At 43.1% G+C, this 27,000-nt stretch overlaps 1 protein-coding gene and 1 long non-coding RNA gene across 2 annotated transcripts in view; both read left to right on the top strand.

Annotated features, from left to right (window-relative positions):
• The first annotated feature begins 13,649 nt into the window (after nt 1–13,649).
• Nucleotides 13,650–16,105, top strand: LOC105374336 (uncharacterized). Its single transcript, XR_925020.3, has 2 exons — nt 13,650–13,786; nt 15,209–16,105. It is a non-coding gene; the product is annotated as an uncharacterized LOC105374336 (long non-coding RNA).
• A 1,860-nt stretch (nt 16,106–17,965) lies between these two features.
• ZNF732 (zinc finger protein 732) overlaps nt 17,966–27,000 on the top strand; it is a 34,800-nt gene continuing 25,765 nt past the window's right edge. Inside the window, exon 1 of the mRNA NM_001137608.3 lies at nt 17,966–18,132. Coding sequence (NP_001131080.1) covers nt 18,130–18,132 — 3 coding nt within the window. The 5' untranslated portion in view covers nt 17,966–18,129. The remainder of the gene's footprint in view (nt 18,133–27,000) is intronic.

Raw genomic sequence — 27,000 nt, 5'->3', positions numbered from 1 at the left:
ACGGGCTGGGTGCGGTGGCTCATGCCGGTAATCCCAGCACTTTGGGAGGCTGAGGTGGGTGGATCACTTGAGGTCAGGAGTTCAAGACCAGCCTGGCCAACGTGGTGAAACCCCATCTCTACTTAAAATACAAAAAATTATCCAGGCGCAGTGGTACGCACCTGTAATCCCAGCTGCTTGGGAGGCTGAGGCAGGAGAATCATGTGAACCCGGGAGGCAGAGGTTGCAGTGAGCTGAGGTCACAGCATTGCACACCAGCCTGGGGGACGAGAGCAAGACTTCGTCTAAAAAAAAAAAAAAAGAAAGAAAATACATTTTAATAAGAACAAATACAAAATAATATTGTCTTTAAAGAAAACTATGAGCATAAGGTAATCTGACCATTATTGTCATTAGTATTTTGTGCATACAATGTGTGAGACATTATTCTAAGCCATTAAACATTTATAGGCTTAACACCTAAGAGTTTAAAGTGAATATATTAAACATTTATTGAATAAGAAAAACCGGTACCTTTAAAAATTATACTTTTAATTGAAATATTATTATTGTATATATTTGTTGAGTATGATGTCATATTTTGATATTTTTATGCTGTAAAATGATTACATTGAGCTAAGTGACAAATTCTTTAGCTCACATATGATTTTTTTGTGGTGAAAACTTTTGAAATCTACTTCATAGCAATTTTGAAATATACAATACATTATTATTTATTATAGTCACCATTCTGTGCAATCAATCACTAATACTTATTCTCTCATCTAAGTGAAACTTGTTACAATTTCGCTTTCTACATCCACTCCCTCTCCTAGCCACTCACATTTTCACTCTGATTTTTATATATATATATTTTTTTTTTTTTTTTTTTTGGAGACAGAGTCTTGCTCTGTCACCCAGGCTGGAGTACAATGGCACAATCTTGGCTCACTGCAACCTCCGCCTCCCTGGTTCAAGCGATTCTCCTGCCTCAGCCTTCTGAGTAGCTGGGATTACAGGTACGCACCAGCACTTCCAGCTAATTTTTGTATTTTTAATGGAAACGGGGTTTCACCATGTTGGTCAGACTGATCTCGAACTCCTGACCTCGTGATCCTCCCGCCTTGACCTCCCAAAGTGCCAGGATTATAGGCATGAGCCACCGCGCCCGGCCTATTAAGTTATATTAAGGCCATTGCATCAATTAACTATTTTGGTATACAACAACTACATGAACATAAATAATGTTAAATGGCTGTATAAGAAAGTTTGACTAAATAGCCATAGAAATAAATGGGAAGAATTTTTTTTAACTTTTAATTTAAAAGTAAACTTTAACGTCGAAAATGCAAACCTGGGGAAGGCAGAAAGATCACACACAAGGCTGTCGCTTCACACTTGGAGGGTTGCACAGCTGCCGGGTAGAGGCGTTGCTCACTTCCCAGATGGTGCGACAGACAGGGAGAGGCGCTCCACACTTCCCAGACAATGGGGTCGCCGGGCAGAGGCGCTCCAATGGGAATAATTTTTAACCAGTAAACAAAAAATACCCATTAAATGGAAAGGTTTTAGGACCGAAATATGTCGTTGAATGCATGAGAGCAAAAACCCAGCAGGTAGTATTTTCTAGGCATTGTAAATAACAGTCGAAGGCATCTACTAAAGTGAGTTCACAAGTAATATCTATCTACATAAAACTTCTATAAGATTTAAAAAATTAATTTCTGGATTAAATAGAAAATTCAAATAGAATTTGGATTCAGAAAAGTGTTCATGATGAAGCATGGTGATTGACGCCAAAACCCTGAATTTCAGTAAATAATCCTGCGAGTGTTATCTTAATCATAGAGGAAAGTGGCATTCTGCCCATATTTAGATATTATTCCTTCCAGTTGGGGTAGTTTTCAAAATTTTGTGAAGACATAAAATCAGTTTTTCTGTAGTAAAAATACACTCTATGAATTATTGTTACTTTGTAGTATAATTGAGGGAAAGATATATTCTAAATAACTTGAAATTTTTCATGAGATGCTGTTCTCTGCCAAAAAAATTGTGAAATATTTTTCTCAGGGATGCTTTGTTGATATGTTTGCTGTTTGGGAAAATACATATTCTAGAAACTTTAAATATAGAAAGCTAAAATTCTTAGGAAGTTACAATAACCTTTTTTTTTTTTTTTTTTTTGAGACAGAGTTTCACTCTTGTTGCCCAGGCTGGAGTGCAATGGCGCAATCTCGGCTCACCGCAACCTCCGCCTTCCGGGTTCAAGCGATTCTTCTGCCTTAGCCTCCCAAGTTGCTGGGATTACAGGCATGCACCACCATGCCCGACTAATTTTGTATTTTTAGTAGAGATGAGGGTTCTCCATGTTGGTCAGGCTGGTCTCGAACTCCTGACCTCAGGTGATCCACTCACCTCAGCCTCCCGAAGTGTTGGGATTACAGGCGTGAGCCACCGCGCCCGGCCTTTTTTTTTTTTTTTTTTTTTTTTTTTTGAGACAGAGTCTCTCTCTGTCACCCAGGCTGGAGTGCAGTGGTGCCATCTGGGCTCACTGCAACCTCCGCCTCCTGGGTTCAAGCGATTCTCCTGCCTCAGCCTCCTGAGTAGCTGGGATTACAGGCGCCCGCCACCATGCCCAGCTAATTTTTTGTATATTTAGTAGAGACGGGGTTTCACCGTGTTAGCCAGGATGGTCTCAATCTCCTGATCTCATGATCCACCCACCTTGGCCTCCCAAAGTGCTTGGGATTACAGGCATGAGCCACCACGCCCAGCAACAAGAACTTTTAAAATTCTGAGTAGAGTAGCAAGAAAAATATGAGAACTTTCTAGGTAGTGAAGAAGACCAAATAAACTATCCAGAATGTGATCAATCTAAGAAACAAGAGCTCTTCTTGGATATAGGTAAAGACAGAGATGACAAGTTCCTGGGGGTTGACCAAGTTGACATAGGCAAATGGGGAAAGAACCATAAACTAACTGCAGACATTGCAATTGTGGTATCTCCCATTAATGTGAAACAATTACAACTTATGTTGCCTACATTTACAGGATTTACATTTAAAATGTTTCAAGGCAATACAATCAGGAAAATAGACAACATATTAATAATGTGGAAAGAACAAGAAGATATGAGGGTGACAAGTCATATTTGAAAAACAGCCAAATATGAAGCAAACAATTAAAAATGTAAATAATCTACTTAATTTACAACATATCACTGAAACATTTGTCTTAGCTGATGAGATTAGTCAACTATAATACTGAGCAGAATCAGTGTAAAAACAGAAAAGGAGAAGTTATATAACCTCAAATATACATGTATGAAAAGTAGGATGAAAGGAACTAAAACAAACCCAATTGTTTCTACAGAATATATTTTCATTTGTTTGTGTGTTTTTTTGGTGGAGTTTCGTTCTTGTTGTCCAGGTTGGAGTGCAATGGCATGATCTCGGCTCACTGCAACCTCCGCCTCCCAGGTTCAAGTGAATCTCCTGCCTCAGCCTCCCAAGTAGCTGGGATTACAGGTGCTCATCACCACGCCCAGCTAATTTTTTGTATTTTCAGTAGAGATGGGGTTTCCCCATATTGGCCAGGCTGGTCCTGAACTCCTGATCTCAGGTAATCCACCTGCCTCGACCTCCCAAAGTGCCGGGATTACAGCACTGCGTGAGCGTGAGCCACTGTGCCTGGCCTACAGAATATATTTTCAAAATTAAAGTCAATATTCAGACTTGGTGACTTATAGTTTCTAAAATCGAAAACCAGACATAAGTCTTTGAATTCAGAAATGCAGTGTGTCAACAACATAAATAGATTAAATACTGAAAAATAGCCAAGCTGCATGAGACCACAGTAGAAAAAAACAGTATAAATCAGTGAGAGAAAAAAAAATGTACAAAGATGGAAGTAACATTTCCACAGCTGCATAGAATGAAAACCAGAAAAAGAAACATAAATGAATCTGAGATAAATTATCTTTAAAGCTAGAAATGAATACTTACCTGCAATACCTTCAACAAAAAAAGTAAATTAAAATATTTTCAAAAGAAAAACAGGGCCGGGCACAGTGGCTCATGCCTGTAATCCCAGCACTGTGGGAGACCAAGGCAGGTGGAGGAGTTCGAGACCAGCCTGGGCAACATGGTGAAACCCTGTCTCTACTAAAATACAAAAAATTAGCTGGGCATGGCGGTGTGCGCCTGTAGTCCCAGCTACTCGGGAGGCTGAGGCAGGAGAATTGCTTGAATCCAGGAGGCAGAGGTTACAGTGAGCCAAGGTTGCGCCATTGCACTCCGGCCTGGGCAATGGAGTGAGACTCCATCTCAGAAAAAAAAAGAGAGAGAAAAACATTCATGTTGTTATCAGAGCTTCTTAAGCATGTACTTCAAGAAAAAGGAAACATTTTTGTGTCTAAAGTTAAAAATAAAAATGAAAAAGTAACAGATTTGATTTTGGAGCTGACATGTCCTTCTCTCAGGGTTATCAGTACCTGGCAGCCTTTCACCTACCTACAACACTGTAGAGTTTACAAAATTGTCTTCTCTATAATCTCTTCTCTGATCTTTATACCCTGTGAGGCTGTGCAAAACAGAGGCTTGAGTCCCATTTTTCAGATAAAAAGCTGAGGCTCAGAAAGACAAAAATCACACACAAAGTTTGCGACAGAACTGGGAATAGAACACAAGACTCTCATACCAGTGCTTTTCCCATCCTAAATCACTCCTAGGGCTAGGAATACATTAAGACTCCAAAAGATAAAGAATTGCTCAGGCCACATGCGGTGGCTCACGCCTGTAATCCCAGCACTTTGGGAGGCCAAGGCAGGCGGATCACGAGGTCAAGAGATCAAGACCATCCTGGCCAACGTGGTGAAACTCCCTCTCTACTAAAGATACAAGAATTAGCCAGGTGTGGTGGTGTGCACCTGTAGTCCCAGCTACTTGGGAGGCTGAGGCAGGAGAATTGCTTGTAAGCAGGAGGCAGAGGTTGCCGTGAGCCAAGATTGTGCCACTGCACTTTAGCCTGGCGACAGAGTGAGACTCCATCTCAAAAAAAAAAAAAAAAAAAAAGGAATTGCTTAATGCATTCCACCAAGATTAGACCTGACCCACCCCAGAAAGCTCTGGGACCCTGAAATGGAGAAATCAAAAACAAGAATGATGCCTACATTTGCACATCTGAGCTCCAATCCAAACCCTGCCACTCAGCTATAGAACCTCACTTTCTCAGCCTCAGCTTTAAAGCACTCATTGTCTTTTAGTTTAAGCACGTGAGTAATGTGTTGTGCTTCATTTCTTCCCTTCCATGGTATTTGTTTCATGGTTTCAGATCCTGGGGGCTTCTGATCAACCCCTCTGCTAAGTGATGGATGAATAGATGAATGGATGGGTGGATGAAAGTATGGATGGAAACATGGATGGATGGATGAATGCTCATGAGAGCAGTAAGAAATAAACAGAGAGTCAAAATGAGAATGAGGAGATGATTGAAGGATGAAGAATTCATTTATGAGATAGAGGCATGGTCTCCAACCCTCCTATCCCCACACAGCCTCACCAACACCTGCCTTGGGGTAGCAGTGGCACATGCTTCAGATGATGTCCTCAGTCACCATGACATAGCTGCAGAAGGTTCCATAGACCTGAGGCTAATCATGGCTCATGAGAAACGTGCTAAGAGCCAGCAGAAAAAACCCAGCAGCACAATAAAGTTGAGGTTGAAGCTCTTCTCATCTGCAATGGCTGCCTGGCCAGGCCATAGACTATGCACTCCTGGCAGAGGGGGTGCATGTCATCCAGCATAAACAGCCAGACAGGCTCACAGGGAGGGACAAAGCTCTGCGATTGCTGCCAATTGGGGCTTAAAGTTAAAGGGAGAGCAAGACCCCAGTCAGGTCCGCAGTCAGTCTGTGGTTGAGCCTTTACTGTGTGGTGGACACTCTGAGGTGTGGGCACTCTGAGAAACACAGGCTTCAGGGATGGATGGCACGCTGTCCTTATTTCTGGGGCACCTTCCAGGGCACAATATGGTCGAGGTTGTGCAATGTGCATGAGTTCCAGCATGTGCATGAAGCAAAGAGAGGGATAGAGGAGGTGGAGGCCAACAGGACTGATTCACAGAAGGTACCCTTGAGAGGGCAGTTAAAGTTCTTCTCCCAGGGCAAGGAATGACTGGCAGGCACAGAGGCCAGCATGTGCAAAAGCACAGCGGCAAGTACCCACTGACACACAGCTGGAGAGAAGGCTGTAAGTGCTGTGTGCAGGCTGCCCACATTGCATCCTCCTCCCCAGACCTGCTCCTCCCAAAACCCCATCCTTCCAGTTAGTGATCCAGGCCACTGTCCTCACCTCCTCTCTCACACCCACCTCCTGTGGGCCCCACCTTCAATTGCTTCTCATCCCCCATGACTACTCATTGCCTTCATCCCTCTCCCCCTAACTGGTCTCCACTTCCATTGTTGACCCCTGAAGTGCCTTTGCAACCCAACACTGGGTGAGATCATATCAGTGCTCTGCACAGAACCATGGACTGGCTTCCTGTCTCATCAGAGTAAAAACCAGAGGCTTTAAGATGACCCGGAGGACCCTGGAGAATTGGCCCATGTTGCCTGCACGTCACCCCCCTGAGCTCACCTCCCACTGCACCTCCTCTCATTTGCTGCCCTGCAGCCACCCTGGCCCTGTGCTGTTCCTGGAACATATGGGCTTCCCAGGCCCCCTGCACCTGCTGTTCCTTTTGCCTGGACTGCTCTTCCTTTAGATAGCTGCACAGCTCCCTCCCTTACCTCCTTCAAGCCTTTGCCTAAATGTTACCCTCACAGTGAGGTCTTCCCTGATCTGCCTCTAAAGTTGCAGAACTGCCTCCCCCCGGGGATTTACTGTCTTCCTTTCTCAATCTCTTTTTCTCCACAGTCCTTATCGCTATCGATCACACTTACATATTATTTATTCGTCTTGACTCTTATCTGTCTCCCCAACTAGAACTCAAGCTCCCGCAGGATGGGGGCATTTTTTTTTGTTCACTGCTATATCCCCAGGGGCTGGAACAGGGTACGCTCTGGACACATATGTGTGAAGGAATTTATGGAGTCTACATACCTGGGAGAGAGAGCTGGGAAAGGAAATACAGGCAGGAAACCTCCTGGGTCTAAGGCATCTGACATTTTTCACAGAGGTTATGCAGGGGAGAGAGAGGAATCAGACATTAATTTTCAATTAGGGTGAGAAAGACTCAAGTGAGCAATAATTAGCATCTGGGGGACTAGTAGGGGAGATTACTGACTGGGAGGGGCTGGGTTAAGGTGGAGTCCTCTAGGGGAAGGGATCACCCATTCACCCAGAAAACAACAGAAGCCCAGGAGGAGCCTGACTTGGTTTGGCTGTGTCCCACCCAACCCTCATTTTGAATTCCCATGTGTTGTGGGAGGGACCCAGTGGGAGGTATTGATTCATGGGGGCAGGTCTTTTCCATGCTGTTCTCGTGATAGTGAGTAAGTCTCATGAGATCTGATGGCTTGCTTATAAAGGAGAGTTTCCCTGCACAAGCTCTCTTCTCTTGTCCACTGCCATGTGAGATGTGCCTTTCAGCTTGCGCCGTGATTGTGAGGCCTCCCTAGCATTGTGGAGCTGTAAGTCCATTAAACCTCTTTCTTTTGTAAATTGCCCAGTCTTGGATATGTCTTTATCAGCAGCGTGAAAATGAAAACGGTCTAATACAGTAAATTGGTACCAGTAGAGTGAGACACTGCTCAAAAGGTAACCAGAAATGAAGTTCTGAGTAACAGGCAGAGGATGGAATAGTTTGGAGGGCTCAGAAGAAGACAGAAAAATGTGGGAAAGTTTTGGAACTCCCTAGAGACTTGTTGAATGGGTTTGACCAAAATGCTGATAATGATATGGACAATAAAATCCAGGCTGTGGTGGTCTCAGATGGAGATAAGGAACTTGTTGGCAACTGGAGCAAAGATGACTCTTGTTATGTTTTAGCGAAGAGAGTGGCAGCATTCTGCCCCTGTCCTAGAGATTTGTGAAACTTTGAACTTGAGAGAGATGATTTAGAGTATCTGGTGGAAGAAATTTCTAAACAGCAAAGCATTTAAGAAGTGACTTGGGTGCTGTTAAAGACTTTCGGTTTTACAAGGGAAACAGAGCATAGAAGTTTGGAAAATATGCAGCCTGACAATGTGATAGAAAAGAAAATCCCATTTTCCGAGGAGAAATTGAAGCCAGCTGCAAAAATTTGCATAAGTAATGAGGAGCCAAAAGTTAATCACCAAGACAATGGGGAAAATGTCTCAAGGGCATGTCAGAGACTTTTGTGGCAGCCTGTCCCATCACAGGCCCGGAGGTTTAGGAATAAAAAATGGTTTGTGGGCCAGGCCCAGCGTCCCTCTGCTGTGTGCAGTTTAGGGACTTGGTGCCCTGTGTTTTAGCCACTCCAGCTGTGACTTAAAGGAGCCAAGGGACAGCTTGGGCTATTGCTTCAGAGGGTGGAGGCCCCAAGCCTTGGCATCTTCTACCTGGTGTTGAGACTGCAGGTGCACAGAAGTTGGGAATTGTGGTTTGGGAACCTCCGTTTAGATTTCAGATGATGTATGGAAATTCCTGGATGCCTAGGCAGAAGTTTGCTGCAGGGGCAGGGCCCTCATGGAGAACCTCTGCTAGGGCAGTATGGAAGGCAAATGTGGGGTTAGAAGCCCCTACAAAGAGTCCCCACTGGAGCACCACCTAGTGGAGCTGTGAGAAGAGAGCCACTATCCTCCAGACCCCAGAATTGTAGATCCACTGACAGCTTTTTGGTAGAATAATTGGGTTTCTTTGGAATAAATACCCAGTACTGGGATTGCCAGATTAAATGGTAGTTCTAAGTTCTTTGAGAAATCTCCATACTGCTTTCTACAGTGGCTGAACTGATTTACATTCTTACCAGGAGTGTATAAGTGTTCCATTTTTTCCACAGCCTCACCAACATCTTCCTTTTTTTGACTTTTTAATAATAGCCATTTTGGCTGGTGTGAGATGTTATCTCACTGTGGTTTTGATTTGCATTGCTCTGATGATTAGTGATGTGGAGCATATTTTCATGTTTGTTGGGTGCCTGTAAATTCTCCTTTGATAAGTATCTGTTCATGTTTTTGCTCATTTTAAAATAGGCTTATTTTGTTTTGGTTTGCTTTTTTGGTTGTTTACATTTCTTACAGATTCTGGAAATTAGGTCTTTGTCAGATGCATAGTTTTCAAAGATTTTCTTTCATTCTATAAATTTTCTGTTTACTCTGTGGATAGCTTCTTTTGCTGTGCAGAAGCTTTTTAGTTTAATTAGGTCCTGTTTGTCAATGTTTGTTTTTCTTTCAATTGCTTTTGGGAACTTGGCCAAAAATTCTTTCCCAATTCTTTCCTAATGTCAAGAAAGATATTTTCTAGGTGTTCATGACCAAAAAAAATTCACGTATATGTGTGCACCCCTTCTTCTTCTTCTTCCTCCTCCTCCTCCTTCTTCTTCTCCTCCTCCTCTTCCTCCTTCTTTTCCTTCTTCTTTTTCTTTTTTTACTTCCACTTGTTTCTTCTTATTTATTGATTATGTATATGCCCACCAACAACATGCTAGTGTGAGCATCTCTGTGCAGATGCTCAAGTTTCTTATGAAATGTCCTTCAACAGGTAGAATCCTTTATGCAAGAACATGTAACTCTCAACTTCTTTTTTATTTTTAAATGTGGTTTCACTCTGTTGCCCAGGCTGAAGTGCAATGACACAATCTCAGCTCCTAGGACCTATACCTCCCAAACTCAACTGATCTTCTCACCTCAGCCTCTCAAGTAGCTGGAACTGCAGGCTCAGACCACAACACCACGGTAGTTTTTGCATTTTTTTTTTTTGAAACAGAGTCTCACTCTGTCACCCAGGCTGGAGTGCAGTGGTGCAATCTCTGCTCACTGCAATCTCCACCTCCCGGGTTCAAGTGATTCTCCTGCCTTAGCCTTCCGAGTAGCTGGGACTACAGGTGTGTGCCACCAGGCCCCACTAATTTTTGTATCTTCAGTAGAGACGGGGTTTCACCATGTTGGCCAGACTGGTCTCGAACTCCTGACCTTGTAATCTTCCCACCTCAGCCTCCCAAAGTGCTAGGATTACAGGTGTGAGCCACCACACTTGGCCATTTTTTGCATTTTTTATATGCAAAAATAGGGGTTTTTGCCATGTAGCTCAGCCTGATCTTGAACTCCTGGATTCAGGCAAGTCACCCACCTTCCCCTCTCAAAGTGCTGAAATTACAGGTGTGAGCTATCGTGCTTGGCTTCTTTCAACTCTTGATACATATTTTCAAATTATCTTTCAAAAGGTTATTGACCGTTTATACACTTTACAAGCATGAACAGTGTGTTTCTACTGCTCATAAAAAGAGACAATGTTAGAAAACATTTAATTTCCCAAAGTGATGCCAGACAAAATTCATATATTTTGGAGCTTTTTTTTCTAACCACATTGAAGTTGGGCGCCTTGTGAAAAATGGCCTTTTTTTTTTTTTTTTTCTGAGATGGAGTTTCCCTCTTGTTGCCCAGGCTGGAGTGTAATGGCACGATCTCCGCTCACTGCAACCTCCACCTCCAGGGTTCAAGTGATTCTCCTGCCTCAGCCTCCCGAGTAGCTGGGACTACAGGCATGTGCCACAAAGCCTGGTTAATTTTGTATTTTTAATAGAGACGGGGTTTCTCCATGTTGGTCAGGCTGGTCTCGAACTCCTGACCTCAGGTGATCCACCCACCTCAGCCTCCCAAAGTGCTGGGATTACAGGCGTGAGCCACCACGCCCAGCAAAATGGCCATTTTTACTTCTTTTTTTTTTTTTGAGATGGAGTCTTGCTCCGTCGCCCAGGCTGGAGTGCAGTGGTGCCATCTCGGCTCACTGCAAGCTCCGCCTCCCGGGTTCACATCATTTTCCCACCTCAGCCTCCAGAGCAGCTGGGACTACAGGCACCTGCCACCACTCCAGGCTAATTTTCTTTTTGTATTTTTAGTAGGGATGGGGTTTCACCATGTTAGCCAGGATGGTCTCAATCTCCTGACCTTGTGATCCACCCACCTCGCCTCCCAAGTGCTGGGATTACAGGTGTGAGCCACTGCGCCCGGCCAACTTATTTTAATGTGTAATTTTTTAAATAAGTTCTGTGTATTTTTTAATTGAGTTTGTGATTTTTCTCCCTATTGTCAGGGGTTTCTAACACCTTCTATTTTAATGCAATCTGTCTCACATTATCCTAGCAGGGTAATGACAGTTCACACATCCAAGAATACAACTGTCCTGAATCTGTTCTTATAAGTAAGTCAGAAGTCAAGAAATCCAGGGTGTCATCTAAACACCTGGTAGAGCCCCCCAGTCAAGACATGAACTGGGCTCCCTTTTACCTCATAGACAGCTGAAGGATTGGACGTGATTTATTGATTGGCCCCATGCTGCATCTAAGCACCTGGGCTAGGACTCAACCCTGATTGCCAAGCTGCATGTAAACAGTCTTGAAGTTTGCTATCATAATGTACCCTAGCCTGCCACCAAGACACTCATTCTGGCCACTTCAACCTGTGACTCACAGCTCTGTCGGTGTGAATGCAAACCTGGCTATCTGGCTGCGAAGAATATATAAATGCAGAACAGCAAATCAAGCATTCAGGCACCAGGCAAGAGTTCTTTCCGGGTTTCCAAAACAGGCTTTCCAGAATTTCCCAAAGATGTTGAGACTTAGACCCTTCCTGACCCCACCCCCTGAAATAATCATAAATGGAATCTGGGAGCCATGCAGACTCTCTAGCCTACTCTTTAGTGAAAATGGACTAGGGCCTAAAATGGCAACCCTTTGTCCTCAAGAACACAAACTGAGAGGCTGAGCATTGGCCTCCTACCTTCCAATGACAGACCTTACCCAAGTCCCATCAAAGCTCATACTGTCTTTTAACTGCCATCATCCAGACATGTTCCAGAACAACCCCTCAGAATTGTCTTAATGAGATGGGACAAGGGGCAATGGAGCTCCAGGTTCAGAATGGCTGCCTCGTCTTTCTCTTCTGAGAAGTCTGTACCTGCTGGACAGAATGCTCACTCCTTAGGCAGCTTAGCCCTTGTCCCAGGAACTGCTCCCTAAAAGAATCTTCTAGTCTCTTTTCCCTCTAAAGAGAGGGTCCATGAGACACTATATGGTAGCGAATACATGACCTCAATTCTCACCTGACTTGGCTAACTGATGAACTTTAGAGATAAAGATGCAGGGAACATCCTGTGTCTAGTGAATCTGTCCTGTGCTTCTCAGCTGTGGTGCCTGTGCAAATGCTGGAAGCCAAAAGGATATCCAGTGGTAGATGCATAGACACAGTCTAATAAAATTATGTAAGTTTAAGTTTAATATAAATGGAACTTATAATGTCATATCAAATATTGTTACTTAATTTTATAAGAAAACTGTTAGATTTTGTAAAGGCATTAAATATAATTTTAATAGGAAATTATGAAATTTAAGTGCACTTGGTATAAATGACTGAATTTTGGGCAATTCAGTAAAGGTCACACATGACTGTGAGTCATTGTTGATGAAATGCTCCTACAGATAGCATATTGCACATGCATTTTGATTTGTTCCTCTGAGGTCAATTTTTCTTAATTTTATTCATCAAGTTTTATACACTTTAGACAAAATAGACCTTGTAGTTATCATGTGCTCTATGAATCTGTACTTTGTTAGAAATACACATTTTCAGGCAAAACCCAGATATATTGTATCAAAATCTGGATTTCAAATATTTCCAGGTAATTCACATGCATATTAATAATTGTTAAGTGGCAGTAATTCTATGATTGAAAGAGAAAAGGTTATATGGATGTATTGATTTGTCAAAAAGGTACAGTAAAGACTGTATGTTTCAATGCATATACATCTTATCTTACAGAAAATAACTAAAAACAATAATAAAGTGGAGATGGGAGGCTGGGTGTGGTGGCTCACACCTGTAATCCTAGCACTTTGGGAGGCCAAGGCAGGTGGATCATGAGGTCAGGAGATCGAGACCATCCTGGCTAACATGGTGAAACCCCATCTCTACTAAAAATACAAAAAATTAGCCAGGTGTGGTGGTGGGCACCTGTAGTCCCAGCTACCTGGGAGGCTGAGGCAGGAGAATGGAGTGAACCCGGGAGGTGGAGCTTGCAGTGAGCCCAGATCGCGCCACAGCACTCCAGCCAGGGCGACAAGAGCAAGACTCTGTCTGAAAAAAAAAAAAAGAAAAAAAAGTGAAGAAGAAATTAAACATAAATGAGACAAAATTAGTAGATGTTGAGGCTGAGCATCAGCCTATTATACTATATTGGTTACTGTGTATAAGTTTAAAATATTCTCTAATAAAAGACTTTTCTAAAAAGACAACCATCTATAACATTAGCTCAAGATTGTGGTTAGATTTGGGGGGAAGGAAAAGAAGAAGTGGTTTGTGGGGAAAAACAAGGGTAGTTCCATTCTATAGTTACACGAATGTATTAGCTTTGTTATAAATTATTGAGCATTACATTAATATTTCATTGTGGATGCATTTCTGTATGTATGTTATACATCAATAAAAATGTAAATATTACATATTTAATACTAACTTAATATTTCAGAATAATAGCAATGTTTCGTATTGTTTTGTTTGAAAGTGGGGCATTGGCCAGGCGCGGTCCACTGCACTCCAACCTGGGCAACAGAGTGAGACTGCATATCAAAAAAAAAAAAATAGTGGAGCATTTACATTCAGTCATCATGAGATGGATACTAATATTCCAAGGTATGCATACATGTCTTGACCCTTGGGAGTCCCCCTCAGTCTTTCATTTTTTATTTCAATTGAGTAAGTAGCATGGTTTTAGTTTTGGGGAATGTAAATTTCTTACAGCAAAGTCCTTCCTCCACAACAATATTCACCTAGCACAGTGGGCTGCACACAGTGTGCACTCAGTGTGTGTGGAACTGGTTTGAATCAGGAACAAAACAAGTAGCAGAGGTCAGTTTTGCAAAGGAAAGAATGTGGGTAATATGAGTAAGACTGAAAGGCCACAACTCAACAGCAAACACTTTTTACATTAATTTGAGAAATATTTTCAACTGGTTCTCTGAAAGATGTTGGTTTACAGCAGACATTTGGGAGTATGGTTGCATATTGTAATCACCTGGAGAGCTTTAAATCACACTGGCTTTTGCCTGGGTCTTAAGCTAGGGATTCTGGCTTAATTATTCCCTTGCAATTTGGGTTTGGGAACTTTAAATACCACCACCTACATGCACAACAGGCTAATGTGCATCCAAGGGTGAGAAGCATTGATTCAGGGCAAGGAATGAATTGGTTATGTGTGATTTCTATGTGTGCTCTAGGTATTTGCCCTATAGCTGCTCCTAAATGTGGGGTCTTAGAAAACATCTTGGCCCTTCAAAGCATACTCTGCTGGTTGGCTAAATTGCAGCAGGAAAAAATATCAGCAGCCCTATTGCTATGTCACTTGCCTGCAGAGCAAAAGTTGTTTCAGGAACAGTAATTTGATTTAGTCTATATTAAAAATCATAAATAGTCTACAAATACAAAAAATAAAGAGTTTGCAGCTATGTTGAGTGCATTATAGGTGTTTTCAAATTTCTCCTATGATAAATTAAAAATGTAACGTTGGGCATTAATTTCCTAAACCCAATGCTCAGCAATTTCCTCAAATTGTTGCCAGTTTTTCCAAGAGACTTCAGAACCATTCCCTGGAGTGAATTATTTCCAATGGTGAAGAGTAAGGGGTGGATGGGATGAGATTCTAAAAAAAAAAAAAATCTTGCTTCTATTTCAGAAGTGTCACTCTTCAGCCCCGTGAAGGACACGAAAAGCTGGCTGAGTAGTGTGGTCTATGGAGGTGCAGGGGCTTCAGAGTTAGGGAAGCATCAATCCTGAGTCCAAGCCAGCTGCTTGGTAGCTGTGGGATAGTTATATAAGCCACATCTGCAAGAAAAGTCATGATAAAATTGATCGCAAAAACAGCAATTAAAAAAATTCTTATTGTATTCATGTTCTTGGAAATGGCTTTTATAGTTGTTCCTATCAAGAAACAGATTCTGTTTCCCAAACTTGAATCTCTCTTGACTTATTTGCACAGGCCGAAGCTGTGCATATGACAGTGTGCCAGTTTGGGGCCCAGGTTCAAAAGGTCTTAAATGCTTCTGTTATCTTTTTCAGAATTCTTCCATCTCTATGAGAACAAGCCCATTTTAACTTTCTGGAGGATAAAATAGCATGCTGAGGAAAGCCAAAGTGCGCCAGTTTACAGACAGCTCACTCCCAGAAGCAGAGCCACCTAATTCACCAGCATCTGACCACTCACACCTGAAGGAGCCAAACTGAGCCCAGAAGAATGGCCCAGCTAAGCCCAGCCTAAATTTCTAACCAGCTCAACCCTGAGCTAGTATGTTTCAGGATTGTTATGCAGTTATAGCTTAGTAATATATACACCCATTAAAGACAGGATTCCAGGATTCCAGGACAGATTGATTACAAATAACCTGCAAATGCTTGGCACCCTGTAAGTATTGATATTGTGTTTCCTTTATTTAAAGTTAAATTTGTTGTAAGATGGTATTGACTTATATAGAAGTGAGGCAAGAGAATAGGGTCTGGAGGCAGGGAACTTAAGGCCAATTCGTGCTGAATTCCTAAAGAAGAAACACCAAGGTCTGGGAGCAGGGAACCTAAGGCCAATTAACGTGAACTTCCTACATCTAAACCAAAAGGAAAACCTCATCTACACCTGAGTAGCAAAGGATCAAAGGTGACTGTTGCTACAACCCTCTCCTTTGCACCAGTTCTCTGATAGAAAAGGAGAGTGACTTGGAGTGGCCGTGGGCCAAGCACAGGCCATGCCTTCATCTGCATGGGGTACCAATTCACCTCAGCCTTTGATTAGCCACGGACCAAATCTTTCATCCAGATAAGGGGTAGCTGATAGGGACCTCAAAAGGAGTACTTAAAACCCAGATAACTTTGTAACCGGGTCCTTGAGCTGCTTGCTGGGGCTCACACCCATCCCGTGGAGTGCTTTCTTGCTTTAATAAACCCCTGCTTTTGCTGTTTCCTTCATGTGTTTCGTTCCATTTTGCATTTTGTTCAATTCTTTGTTCAAAATATCAAGGACCTGGACAACTCACACTCACGGCCTTCCTTCTGGGAACAGAAGTGCAGGTAGAAGTGGATGCATGTGATTGGTGCTTAAACTCACACAGTGCCCCACACCACAGGAGAAAAACACACAGTTACAGCCTGACAGGTCCAAAGATAAATAGCAAAACAAGAAATTTGCCTTTAATCTATTCCCTCCACATCTAAACTCTGGAGGGCAAGGCTGTGAAGAGATCTGAATACATGGTGCTCTCTCTTCCTGTGGACCCATCATTCCTTGTTTACTGTCTGATATTTAAAAGGAAGAGGAACCCCTGAGAGAGGAGGCAGTCAGAAGCTAGTTAGGAAGATAGGGAGGGAGGGTCTCTGGAGAGGAAAAACACCCATGGGACCGCACATGCACCACCCTTGTAGCTAGTGGGAAGAAATGTGGTTAAGAACTTCCTCTTATGCCAGGATGTTGATCAGAAGGGACTGTCCCCACTTAGGCCCAGGTGTAATAAATCAACCTAAATGTCATTAACTTGACCCAGCTCCTTATAATGTTACCTAACATGACATAAGTATTTTGGTTTTAGCTTCACCCTTTCCACCTGCTGTGGGTTTCGCTTGGGCACTCATGGGTAATAACCAAGACGGAGTCACTGTGGTCAATCCCAGGCATGCTCAGATGCAACACTGTTATAGGGGAACTTTACCCCTCCCATTTGGGCAGAGCCCACAGAAGACTTCCTTGTTCTTGCCATATAAACTCAGCCCCATTTCTGGCACCCTGCTTTCATGTCCCCTCTTACTGCTGAGAGCTTTCCCTATGCTTAATAAATCCTATTCTGCTTTACTCACTCTCTGGTGTCTGTATGTCTTATTCTTCCTGGTCATGGGAAGAGAGCCCAGACGTGGTTGAACTGAGGAGACCACCACACTGGTACCAAACAGCAAGGGGGAGACAGTGATCTTCACGTGGACACTCTCAGCTTGCAGCCCCTGCTCTCTCTAGGGGCACTGTCCTACCCATCCTTCATCCTGAGGAGAAAAGTTGGTAGAGAGGCTGGTCCCTTACTTCCAGTAGAAAAGACGTGTTCAGGCCCTCACTTTCTTGAGGTCAGAGCCCTCATGGCTGTACTCGATGTGGCAGCCACCAGACATATGTAGCTACTGAGTACCTGGAATGTGGCTGGTTTGAGGTAAAATGTGCTGCAAACATAAAATACACAGTGAGTTTAGACGAATTAAATCAGAAATATACTTTATTTCTAATTATATATTGATCACATATTGAAACAATATTTTGGATACAATAGGTTAAAATATAAACAATTTCACTTGTTTCTTTTTATTATTTTTGATGTGGCTAATAAAAAATTGAAAATTCACAAATAGCTAACATTTTATTTTTTAAAGGATTGCTTCCCCCTTAAAATCCTACTCAAAAGACCAGAGGACAGAGAGGTTATGAAATCTAAAATATTAAAATAATTGTCATTATATTGTTTCCATTTGTGAACAAGTGTGTGTCTGTGTGTGTGCGCGCGCGTACGTACACAATTTATAAATGGGCGTAACCTTACACACCAGAAGGTTAAAAATGAACCCCCAACAGAGCCAAGCCTAGCACAGAAAGCCCTGACTGAAAATACCTGGAGGCACGAGTCTGTCTCTCTTGCCTCATTAAGTGCACTGTGTGGTGGCAAGTTCTGTCACTCAAATTCTGAGCGTGGGGAGCTTGGTATCTTATCCAATCAGAGCGCTGGATTGAGAACTGCCCAATCAGGCGCGCAGCCGGAGAGGAGGGGGCGGCATCCGGGATCTGGCGCGGCTTTTGCCTTTTGCGCCAGCGTGAGCTCGGTTAGGGTCTCCACGGCCGTGCTTTCACCCCTCAGGGAGGCGTCGGTGATTCGGTCACAGCCTCAGCCTCCGTCGCTCTGTGACCTGCGGGTATTGGATGATTCGTAGCTGAGACTCCGCTACACCCCTGAAGTGGGGAAATGGTGAGTGTGGGGGCAGGGCGTCCCAAGGCTGGGGAGGCCTCATCCGAACCGGCGGGAAATGGCGGCGGCGGGACGGAGTCTGCGAACGGAGTCTCCGCTGCCGCCGCTCAGCCCTCAGTCCTTGGTCCCTTCCGGTGAGGGACCCGGGTTCATGTCGGTCCCCGCAAGGCGGCTTTGGCCCAGCCTGCAGCCCTACTTGTGCAGCTCTGCGCCCGCAGCCCCGCACCTTCCCTGGGCTGTGGGGTGAGGAGGAGCTCATCGGGAAAACGCCTGCGTGGCGTGCGAGGTGCCCGCCTGGGAGGAGCTGTGGTCCGGTCGTCGAGTCCCTACTTTACCCTGTTCGGAATAAGATCGAGGCCCTATCAAAACATAGAGTTCATGTGAGCAAATGGGGACTAATTAATGGGACAGCCCCGGGCATGGCTTGTGGTTTGGGGGCTGCCAGCGGGTCTTGAAGGAAAAGCTTTTGTGAGGTGTGTGAGGAAGCGAAGCAAATCACCCGCCCGCTCCAACTTGCCCACCAGTCCCCTTGCCCTGTGCGCCTCCTCCGCGTGGCTGTTCCTGAGTGGCATCTTTTAGAATACGCTGGTGTGGGCGCGCACAGCGCTTCGCTGAGTTCTGTGAGTAGTTCTGCCACATTATTGAACTTGAGGAGGGTGTGGGCGCCCCTGGTTTGTAGGCAGGCGTTCAGAAATGAAGACGGGTGTCCAGAGGCAGGGACTGCCGTCTGCAGGGGGGGGGCAGCTGCGGGAAGAGCGCTGAGCTTGTGGGGTCTTCGCTGACTCTGGGTGGTGTCGTTAGTGAGTTGCTGGACACCGCGTTGGGGTTGGAGCATTGACTGATGTTGAGCAAACTCCGCACGTTTTCTGTCAGAAGAAAGACATGGCTGAGCCTGGGCTGGAGAAAGATGCCTGGTGTCTGCGGGAGGCGCGGCCGGGTTCTGCACATGTGCTGTCCCGCTGGGCACTGTCCTTTTCCTCCAGGTCTCCTTCCGGGGAGAGAAGGGACTGGGAACTTAGAGGAAAGGAGTTCTGAGAAACATCCCTTCCCTGCACCCTGCTGCCAGCCCCCACTTAATGCTAACCCACTCCCGAGGACGCTCACTGGCCATTCGCATTGCCACACTCCTCCCAGGACAGGGTTCTACCCTCAGGAATTGTGCCCGTGACAGCTTTGCTCCTAGGGTATTCTGCCAATAACACACACAGTGCCAGGAAGACTCCTGGCTCATTTCAACCCCAGACACTGGATCTATAGCAGGAACCTGTTTCCTTCCCCCACCCAGGCTTCTGGACCACCTGATCCTAATCTCCTCTGCCTTTATGGACACATGAATCAGTCAGATGGTAACCCTGCCTAGACCTGCACTTGTAGCACAAACTAGTCTTTTATTTAGTCAGTCCTGCCCTGTCCCCACCATGACTCTTGATAGCTCCTTTCTCTCTTCTGCTTTTTTCTTCCTCACAAATCTTATTTCCTGTGCACACAGTGTGCCCAAGTCCATCCCTCACTTGCCTGCGAGAATTCAGACGTTAGTGACTTCAAGACCATGCCTTTAAACCTGGCTGTTGCAGGAGCAAACCCAAATTAGACGCGGCTTAATGGTCTCTCTTTAGAATGAGGGAATAATTTTTGCTCTTCTCCCTTTTCTTAAAGCATTTAGTTTGAAAACATTTTTTGTTTTGTTTTCTTGAGCCGGAGTCTCACTCTGTTGCCCAGGCTGGAGGGCAGTGCCGTGATATCGGCTCACTGCAACCTCCACCTCCCGAGTTCAAACAATTCTCCTGCCTCAGCCTCCTGAGTAGCTGGATTACAGGCCTGTGCCACCACGCCCAGCTAATTTTTCTAATTTTAGTAGAGAGGGAGTTTCACCATGTTGGCCAGGCTGGTCTCGAACTCCTTACCTCAGGTGTTAATGTTGTACCTGAGCAAGTTAGAGAAAACGCCACACTTTGAGATGAATTAAGAGTCCGTTTATTTAGCCAGCGGCCAAGAGACGGCTAACGCTCAAAGTTCTCTCGGCCCGAAGAAGGGGCTAGATTTTCTTTTATACTTTGGTTTAGAAAGGGGAGGGGGGGTCTAGTTAAAACAATTTTACAGAAATAAAGTAGGCAAAAAGTTAAAAGGATAAATGGTTACAGGAAAGTAAACAGTTCCAGGTGCAGGGGCTTTAAGATTATTACAAGGTGATAGACGCGGGGCTTTTGGGCGTTATCAATCAGACGAATTCCTGGGAACTGTGGATATTGCTCGCCACAGTATTTTATCAGTTAATTGCATTCTTGGATGTGCTGGGAGTCAGCTTGCACAAGTTAAGTCCTTGAGGAAGGGGCTGCCAGTGAAAGAGCCAAGATGGAGTCTGTCTGGCTCTTAGCTAAGGGAGAGTCAACTCAGGTGGAAACAAGGCTAGGTGATTAAAAGAAGAGGGAGAGTCTAAAAACAGGGTTAGTAGAAACAAGGTTGGGCGTTACAATTTGTCCACCTCGGCCTCCCAAAGTGCTGGGATTACAGGCGTGAGCCACTGCTCCTGTCTCGAAAACTTTTATATTTAAGTATTTTCTCTGCTTCTTTAAAATTTATATGTCATTTTTGTCAGTTAAATAAGTCATTTGTCTTTTTTGAGTCAAACTTGTCTTTATCTAGGACCTGAAAACTATTGCTTTGAAAAGTGAATAGCAAGAACATGCATCCTATCCCACAGTTTCTGTAGGCGACTAATAGGCTGCCTTCAGCAGGTACCTAGCCTCACGTTGCAAATCTGCCTCCTGTCATGAAGATGTTGGAAGTTTATTTTTTCTATAAATATTACCAATTAGAAAACCCAGATGAGTTCTCAGATTACTAGGTGAAATTACAATAAGCCGTATATGACAAATGGTGCTGTCATGTCTTCTACTTGAGAATTATGGTGAGTTTCTGTGTTTGTAGTCTCTTAGTAGATTGCCTATGATGCACATCACATTTTGGTTTAATTATGTAACAAAACATTTTCTTACTTCTCTATTATTGTGGAGTTTTTTAGGATTGGAGATGATTTTGCTTTTAGTTATATTTTTCCTCACACTGTCCAGAATCACCAGACATTATACACAAGTGCCCTCTAGGCTTCACTTTAGAGAAAAACCTTTCTCAGGATTCCACTCACAACCCATAATTTGGTGGCAAGGTGCACAAAGTGCAGCAAAGTGCTCCCCAAATCTGGAAACAGAATGGTCTCTCCTTCTATCTACAGTCGCTTCTATAACAGTTATACTGGATTTCTACAAAAATAACTTTTTAGTACTGCAATCAGTTATTCCTCCTTCGTCAGTGTGCCTGGCATCTTCAAATCTGACACTGATTCCGTGATCATGGGGCCCATAATCCCAATCAGGATCACACATGTGCATTGATTAAACCTGAGAACTTCTTTTTTATATCTATCTGTCTATATATTTTTTATTATACATTAAGTTCTAGGGTACATGTGCACAACGTGCAGGTTTGTTACATATGTATACATGTGCCATGTTGGTGTACTGCACCCATTAACTCGTCATTTATATTAGGTATATCTCCTAATGCTGTCCCTCCCCACTCCTCCCACCCCACAACAGGCTCTGGTGTGTGATGTTCCCCATCCTGTGTCCACGTGTTCTCATTGTTCAACTCCCACCTATGAATGAGAACATGCGGTGTTTGGTTTTTTGTCCTTGTGATAGTTTGCTGAGAATGATGGTTTCCAGCTTCATCCATGTCCCTACAAAGGACACGAACTCATCATTTTTTATGGCTGCATAGTATTCCATGGTGTATATGTGCCACGTTTTCTTAATCTAGTCTATCATTGTTGGACATTTTGGTTGGTTCCAAGTCTTTGCTATTGTGAATAGTGCCACAATAAACATACATGTGCATGTGTCTTTATAGCAGCATGATATATAATCCTTTGGATATATACCCAGTAATGAGATGGCTGGGTCAAATGGTATTTCTAGTTCTAGATCCCTGAGGAATCGCCACACTGTCTTCCACAATGGTTGAACTAGTTTACAGTCCCACCAACAGTGTAAAAGTGTTCCTATTTCTCCACATCCTCTCCAGCACCTGTCGTTTCCTGACTTTTTAATGATCGCCATTCTAACTGGTGTGAGATGGTATCTCATTGTGGTTTTGATTTGCATTTTCTCTGATGGCCAGTGATGATGAGCATTTTTTCACGTGTCTCTTGGCTACCTAAATGTCTTCTTTTGAGAAGTGTCTATTCATATCCTTCGCCCACTTGTTGATGGGGTTGTTTTTTTCTTGTAAATTTGTTTGAATTCTTTGTAGATTCTGGATATTAGCTCTTTGTCAGATGAGTAGATTGCAAAAATTTTCTCCCATTCTGTAGGTTGCCTGTTCACTCTGATGGTAGTTTCTTTTGCTGTGCAGAAGCTCTTTAGTTTAATTAGATCCCATTTGTCAATTTTGGCTTTTGTTGCCATTGCTTTTGGTGTTTTAGACGTGAAGTCCTTGCCCATGCCTATGTCCTGAATGATATTGCTTAGGTTTTCTTCTAGGGTAAACCTGAGAACTTCAACTCCCTTCTCCCTTTGCCCAAATGCCCACAAATGTGCATAGCTCACCAGCCCTCCAAGTCTTAAATATGTAGTTCCAAATTCTGAATTTATGTCCTGGGATTTGAGAGAAGCACAGAACTTTTATCTGAGAAATACAAGTTATTTTAATGATCAGACCCAGTGATGTGTTAAAATGAGACCACAGTCATGTACTGTTCCCCTCTTTGAACTATTTGTCTTTTGTAATTGTGTGCTATTGCCACAAATGGCTATAATTTTTTCTTTTCTTTTCTTTTTTTTTTTTTTTTTTTTGAGACAGAGTCTCATTCTGTCTCCCAGGCTGGAGTGCAGTGGTTGCTCACTACAACCTCTGCCCCCTGAGTTCAAGTGATTCTCCTGTCTCAGCCTCCTGAGTAGCTGGGACTACAGGCACCCACCACCATGCCTGGCTAATTTTTTGTATTTTTTAGCTGAGACGGGGTTTCACCGTGTTAGCCAGGATGGTCTCAATCTCCTGACCTCTTGATCCCTCTGCCTCGGCCTCCCAAAGTGCTGGGATTACCGGCGTGAGCCACCATGCCTGGCCACAAATGGCTATAAATTAACCTAATAATTTCATACTTGACACTATAACCCACACCTTATATGTTAATGTATATAGCCAGTCACTAACCACTTACTTCTATAAGCCAATAAGAATTTCTGACAACTTTCTATCAGTTCCCTCTCTGCCTCCCTTTTTGCCTTTAAAAATATACTCGTCAGCTGGGCATGGTGGCTCACGCCTGTAATCCTAGCACTTTGGGAGGCCGAGGCAGGCGGATCACCTGAGGTCCGGAGTTCGAGACCAGACTGGCCAACATGGTGAAACCCCGTCTCTACTTAAAAAAAAAAAAAAAAAAAATTAGCCGGCATGGTGGCGCATGCCTGTAATCCCAGCTACTTGGGAGGCTGAGGCTGGAGAATCATTGGAATCCAGGAGCCAGAGGTTGCGGTCAGCTGATATCGTGCCATTGCACTCCAGCCTGGGCAACAAGAGGGAAACTCCATCTCTTTAAAAAAAAAAAAAAAAGTATATATATTTATGTATATAAAAATTATATATATAATTTACATATGTAATATATAAATATATACAAATATATTATTTATATATAAATAATTTATAAATATATATTTATATATAAATTATATATATAAAACTATATATATACATATATATGTGTATATATGTATATATACACATATATACGTATATGTGTGTATATATACACACATATGTGTATATATGTGTATATATATATACACATATGTGTATATATATATATATACACATATGTGTATATATGTGTATATATATATACACATATGTGTACATATGTGTATATATATATACACATATGTGTATATATGTGTATATATACTCATAACTGCTTCTAATTGGAGCGTATATTCAGGGCACCTTTATATTCCAGTGTTGCATCTTCAAGTTTTGGCCCAAATAAACTTTCTACTTGTGTTTACCCCAGGTTTTTCCTTTTAGGTCAAAATATTCTTTAGAATGTGTTGAAGGAGCCTCCATGAGAGAATCTTACCTCTGGTTTTACTCTGCTTACTGTAACCCCTAAGAATGCTGAGGCACATTGATCCCACCTAGAATATGCACATAAAAACTGACTTCTGCCTAGGATTCACAAGACAGGACCAGACTTTGGGCTGAAGACATAACAGAAAACTCATAGAAGACATTTTCTACATCATGAGAGGTCAACATAGGTGGAGCTCTTTGAGTTTTCCAGATCTTGTCCAGTGACCTGATATAGTTGTGTGGGAGGCTTCTGGTGGGAACAGAAGAATCCTGTGGCAGAATCTGTTAAGTGTAAAAAAGCACCTTAGCAGTGGGAGTTCAGGGCCACAAAATATTCAGAGCCAAAGTCACAACAATGCCTCCCCGTAAACTCTTACTGGAGTAGAGTAGTTTTGTCCTTCCCCTTGCCTCAGAGTTAGCTGATCAGGGACAGGGGCTATCACGTCTGGATCCAGGATCTGCAGCTTCACCAGGGCTGTTTCATTTTCTGTTTGCATCCCACTAATTGAGCCTGAATCTCTCCTGCCTGGATCACTATGGGGATATCAGCCCAAGGTCACTGGGGACACTCAACCAGCACCTGTATTTGAGACATCTGCGGATGTCCTGTGCAGACTGGGGTCAGTCTGACAGCAAGGTCTAATTCTGCTCCCATTTTAGAGGAAGATAAATGACTTATTCAGGGTTTGTTTCTCCCCTCAAAGAATCTCCTTGGTTTGTACCCAAATAAGAGTTGCTCCAGGTTTCTAGTTTTTTTTTTTGGTGAAAAGTGAGATCCGGAGACTCAAACTAATCCATAAGCTAATTACTTCTATTTCATATGGTCCATTAGAAAAAGAGGTGATGCAGTCATGGTCCCTACCCTCAAGGAACTTGCAGTCTGGAGCACATGAATAAATGGTTGAATTCAGCATCATATGTTCAGTACAAAGATGGAAATTGTACAGGACACTTAAGCTTCATTTGGGTTACTTCCCTTTTATTGTTTTGTGAGTTTTGATGCCACCACCTGAATGACTATTAATTGACAGAAGAGAAGTTGTATTGTCTTTACCTTGCTAAGAATAAATATTTAGCTTCTAATATAATTGTGCTAGAGAAACATAAGGGATTTGGTTAAATTCCTTGTTGTATGTTATTAAAGACACAGAGAAGTGGCTAAAATAGATTAAAATTTCATAAAATCTGGGAATCAAATTTCTCTTGGGGAGGCTTAGAAAAGACAAAACTGAAAAAACTTAGCGGCATAGAGAACAGAAGTCTAGGGCCCACTCTCTGTCCTAACCCTGCCCAGATCCACCCTCTACTGAACCTTGTCCAGGTCTGACCCCACACTGAAATCTCTCGGAACTGCTTAGAGGAGATCAGAGTTTGGAGTGACTACTCCTACTGCCTCTCCAAAGCTGGTGCTCCCAATTTCCTGAAACACAAAAGCAGATAAATGGGGAAAAGCAATATACTTTTGTGCCTTAAATTCTTTTTTATAAAATTAAAACCAGTGTTTCTAGAGACATCTCATCCAGCAACCTGTTCTCCATCCCTGCAGTTTTTTTTTTTTTTTTTTTTTTTTTACAAATCTTAAATACAACACAAAAATAAATTTCTCTGAATTGCATTTAATACATCCTTTGTTTCTTTGTGATCTATTTATATTGACCGGTTATTCTATACCTTTAAAAAACAAATCAATTGTAGGAAAATAGAAAGGAAATGGTAATTCTGGGCCCTGTATTTAAATCCTGGGAAGTATTGGACACTTAGTGCCCACCTCCCAGGATGTCCTAAGAATTTACACATAATGTGAGTGTCTTAGCACAGTGCTCTGTGACATACTCCTGAGCACATAGTACATGCTCCATAAATACCGCATTAATGCAGGCGCACATGTTGTTTTTTGTTGTTTTTTTTTTTTTTGAGATGGAGTCTCGCTGTCGCCCAGGCGGAGTGCAGTGGCATGGTCTTGGCTCACTGCAACCTCCAGCTCCCGGATTCAAGTGACTTTTCTGCCTCAGCCTCCTGAGTAGCTGGGATTACAGGCGCACGCCACTATGCCTGGTTAATTTTTGTATTTTTAGTAGAGACAGGGTTTCACCATATTGGCCAGGGTGGTCTCAAACTCCTGACCTTGTGATCCCCCCACCACGGCCTTCCAAAGTGCTGGGATTACAGGCATGAGCCACCACCCCTGGACCACATGTTGTTTTTCAAATGCAGACTTACTCAGACATTGACACCATCTCCAGCCTCTGTAAACTTTAAACGGCCTCCAGAGAATGCTGTGCTTCAGGATGATGATTTGTGGTCTTGTCTTGGGATGAAAAGTATTTGTGTTGTGATAAGGGTGTTGGGGTAAGGGACTCTATGCTGTGCCTGCTTTCTCTAGCCGAGTGGTAATATAATGTGTCTAGGTGGAGGAACATCAGCATTAACAGAAGACTTGCTATAAGAAGCTAATTCATGAACTCTTTTCAAACCTGCAAAATTTTGTTACAGTGAGGCCGAGAATATAAAATAATTTTTATGCGCATTGAAGCTTGAGAGGCAGCGCTTAGCTAAGTGACTCTCAGCCCAGTGTTGCAGTAGGATCACACGGACAATTTGAAGAGAAATCATCACCTGTGCCCTCCCCACAGATCCTGTCTGTTGTTCTGGGTGGAAACATTTCTGATTTTTAAATTAAGTTCCTCGCATATTACAGCGAGGCCAAGGTCAAGCGTGAGGCATTCCAGATACTTTCAT

This window comes from Homo sapiens, chromosome 4, assembly GCF_000001405.40.
Source record: "Homo sapiens chromosome 4, GRCh38.p14 Primary Assembly".
NCBI classification, from domain to species: domain Eukaryota; kingdom Metazoa; phylum Chordata; class Mammalia; order Primates; family Hominidae; genus Homo; species Homo sapiens.
This window is presented reverse-complemented; position numbering and strand designations above follow the sequence as displayed.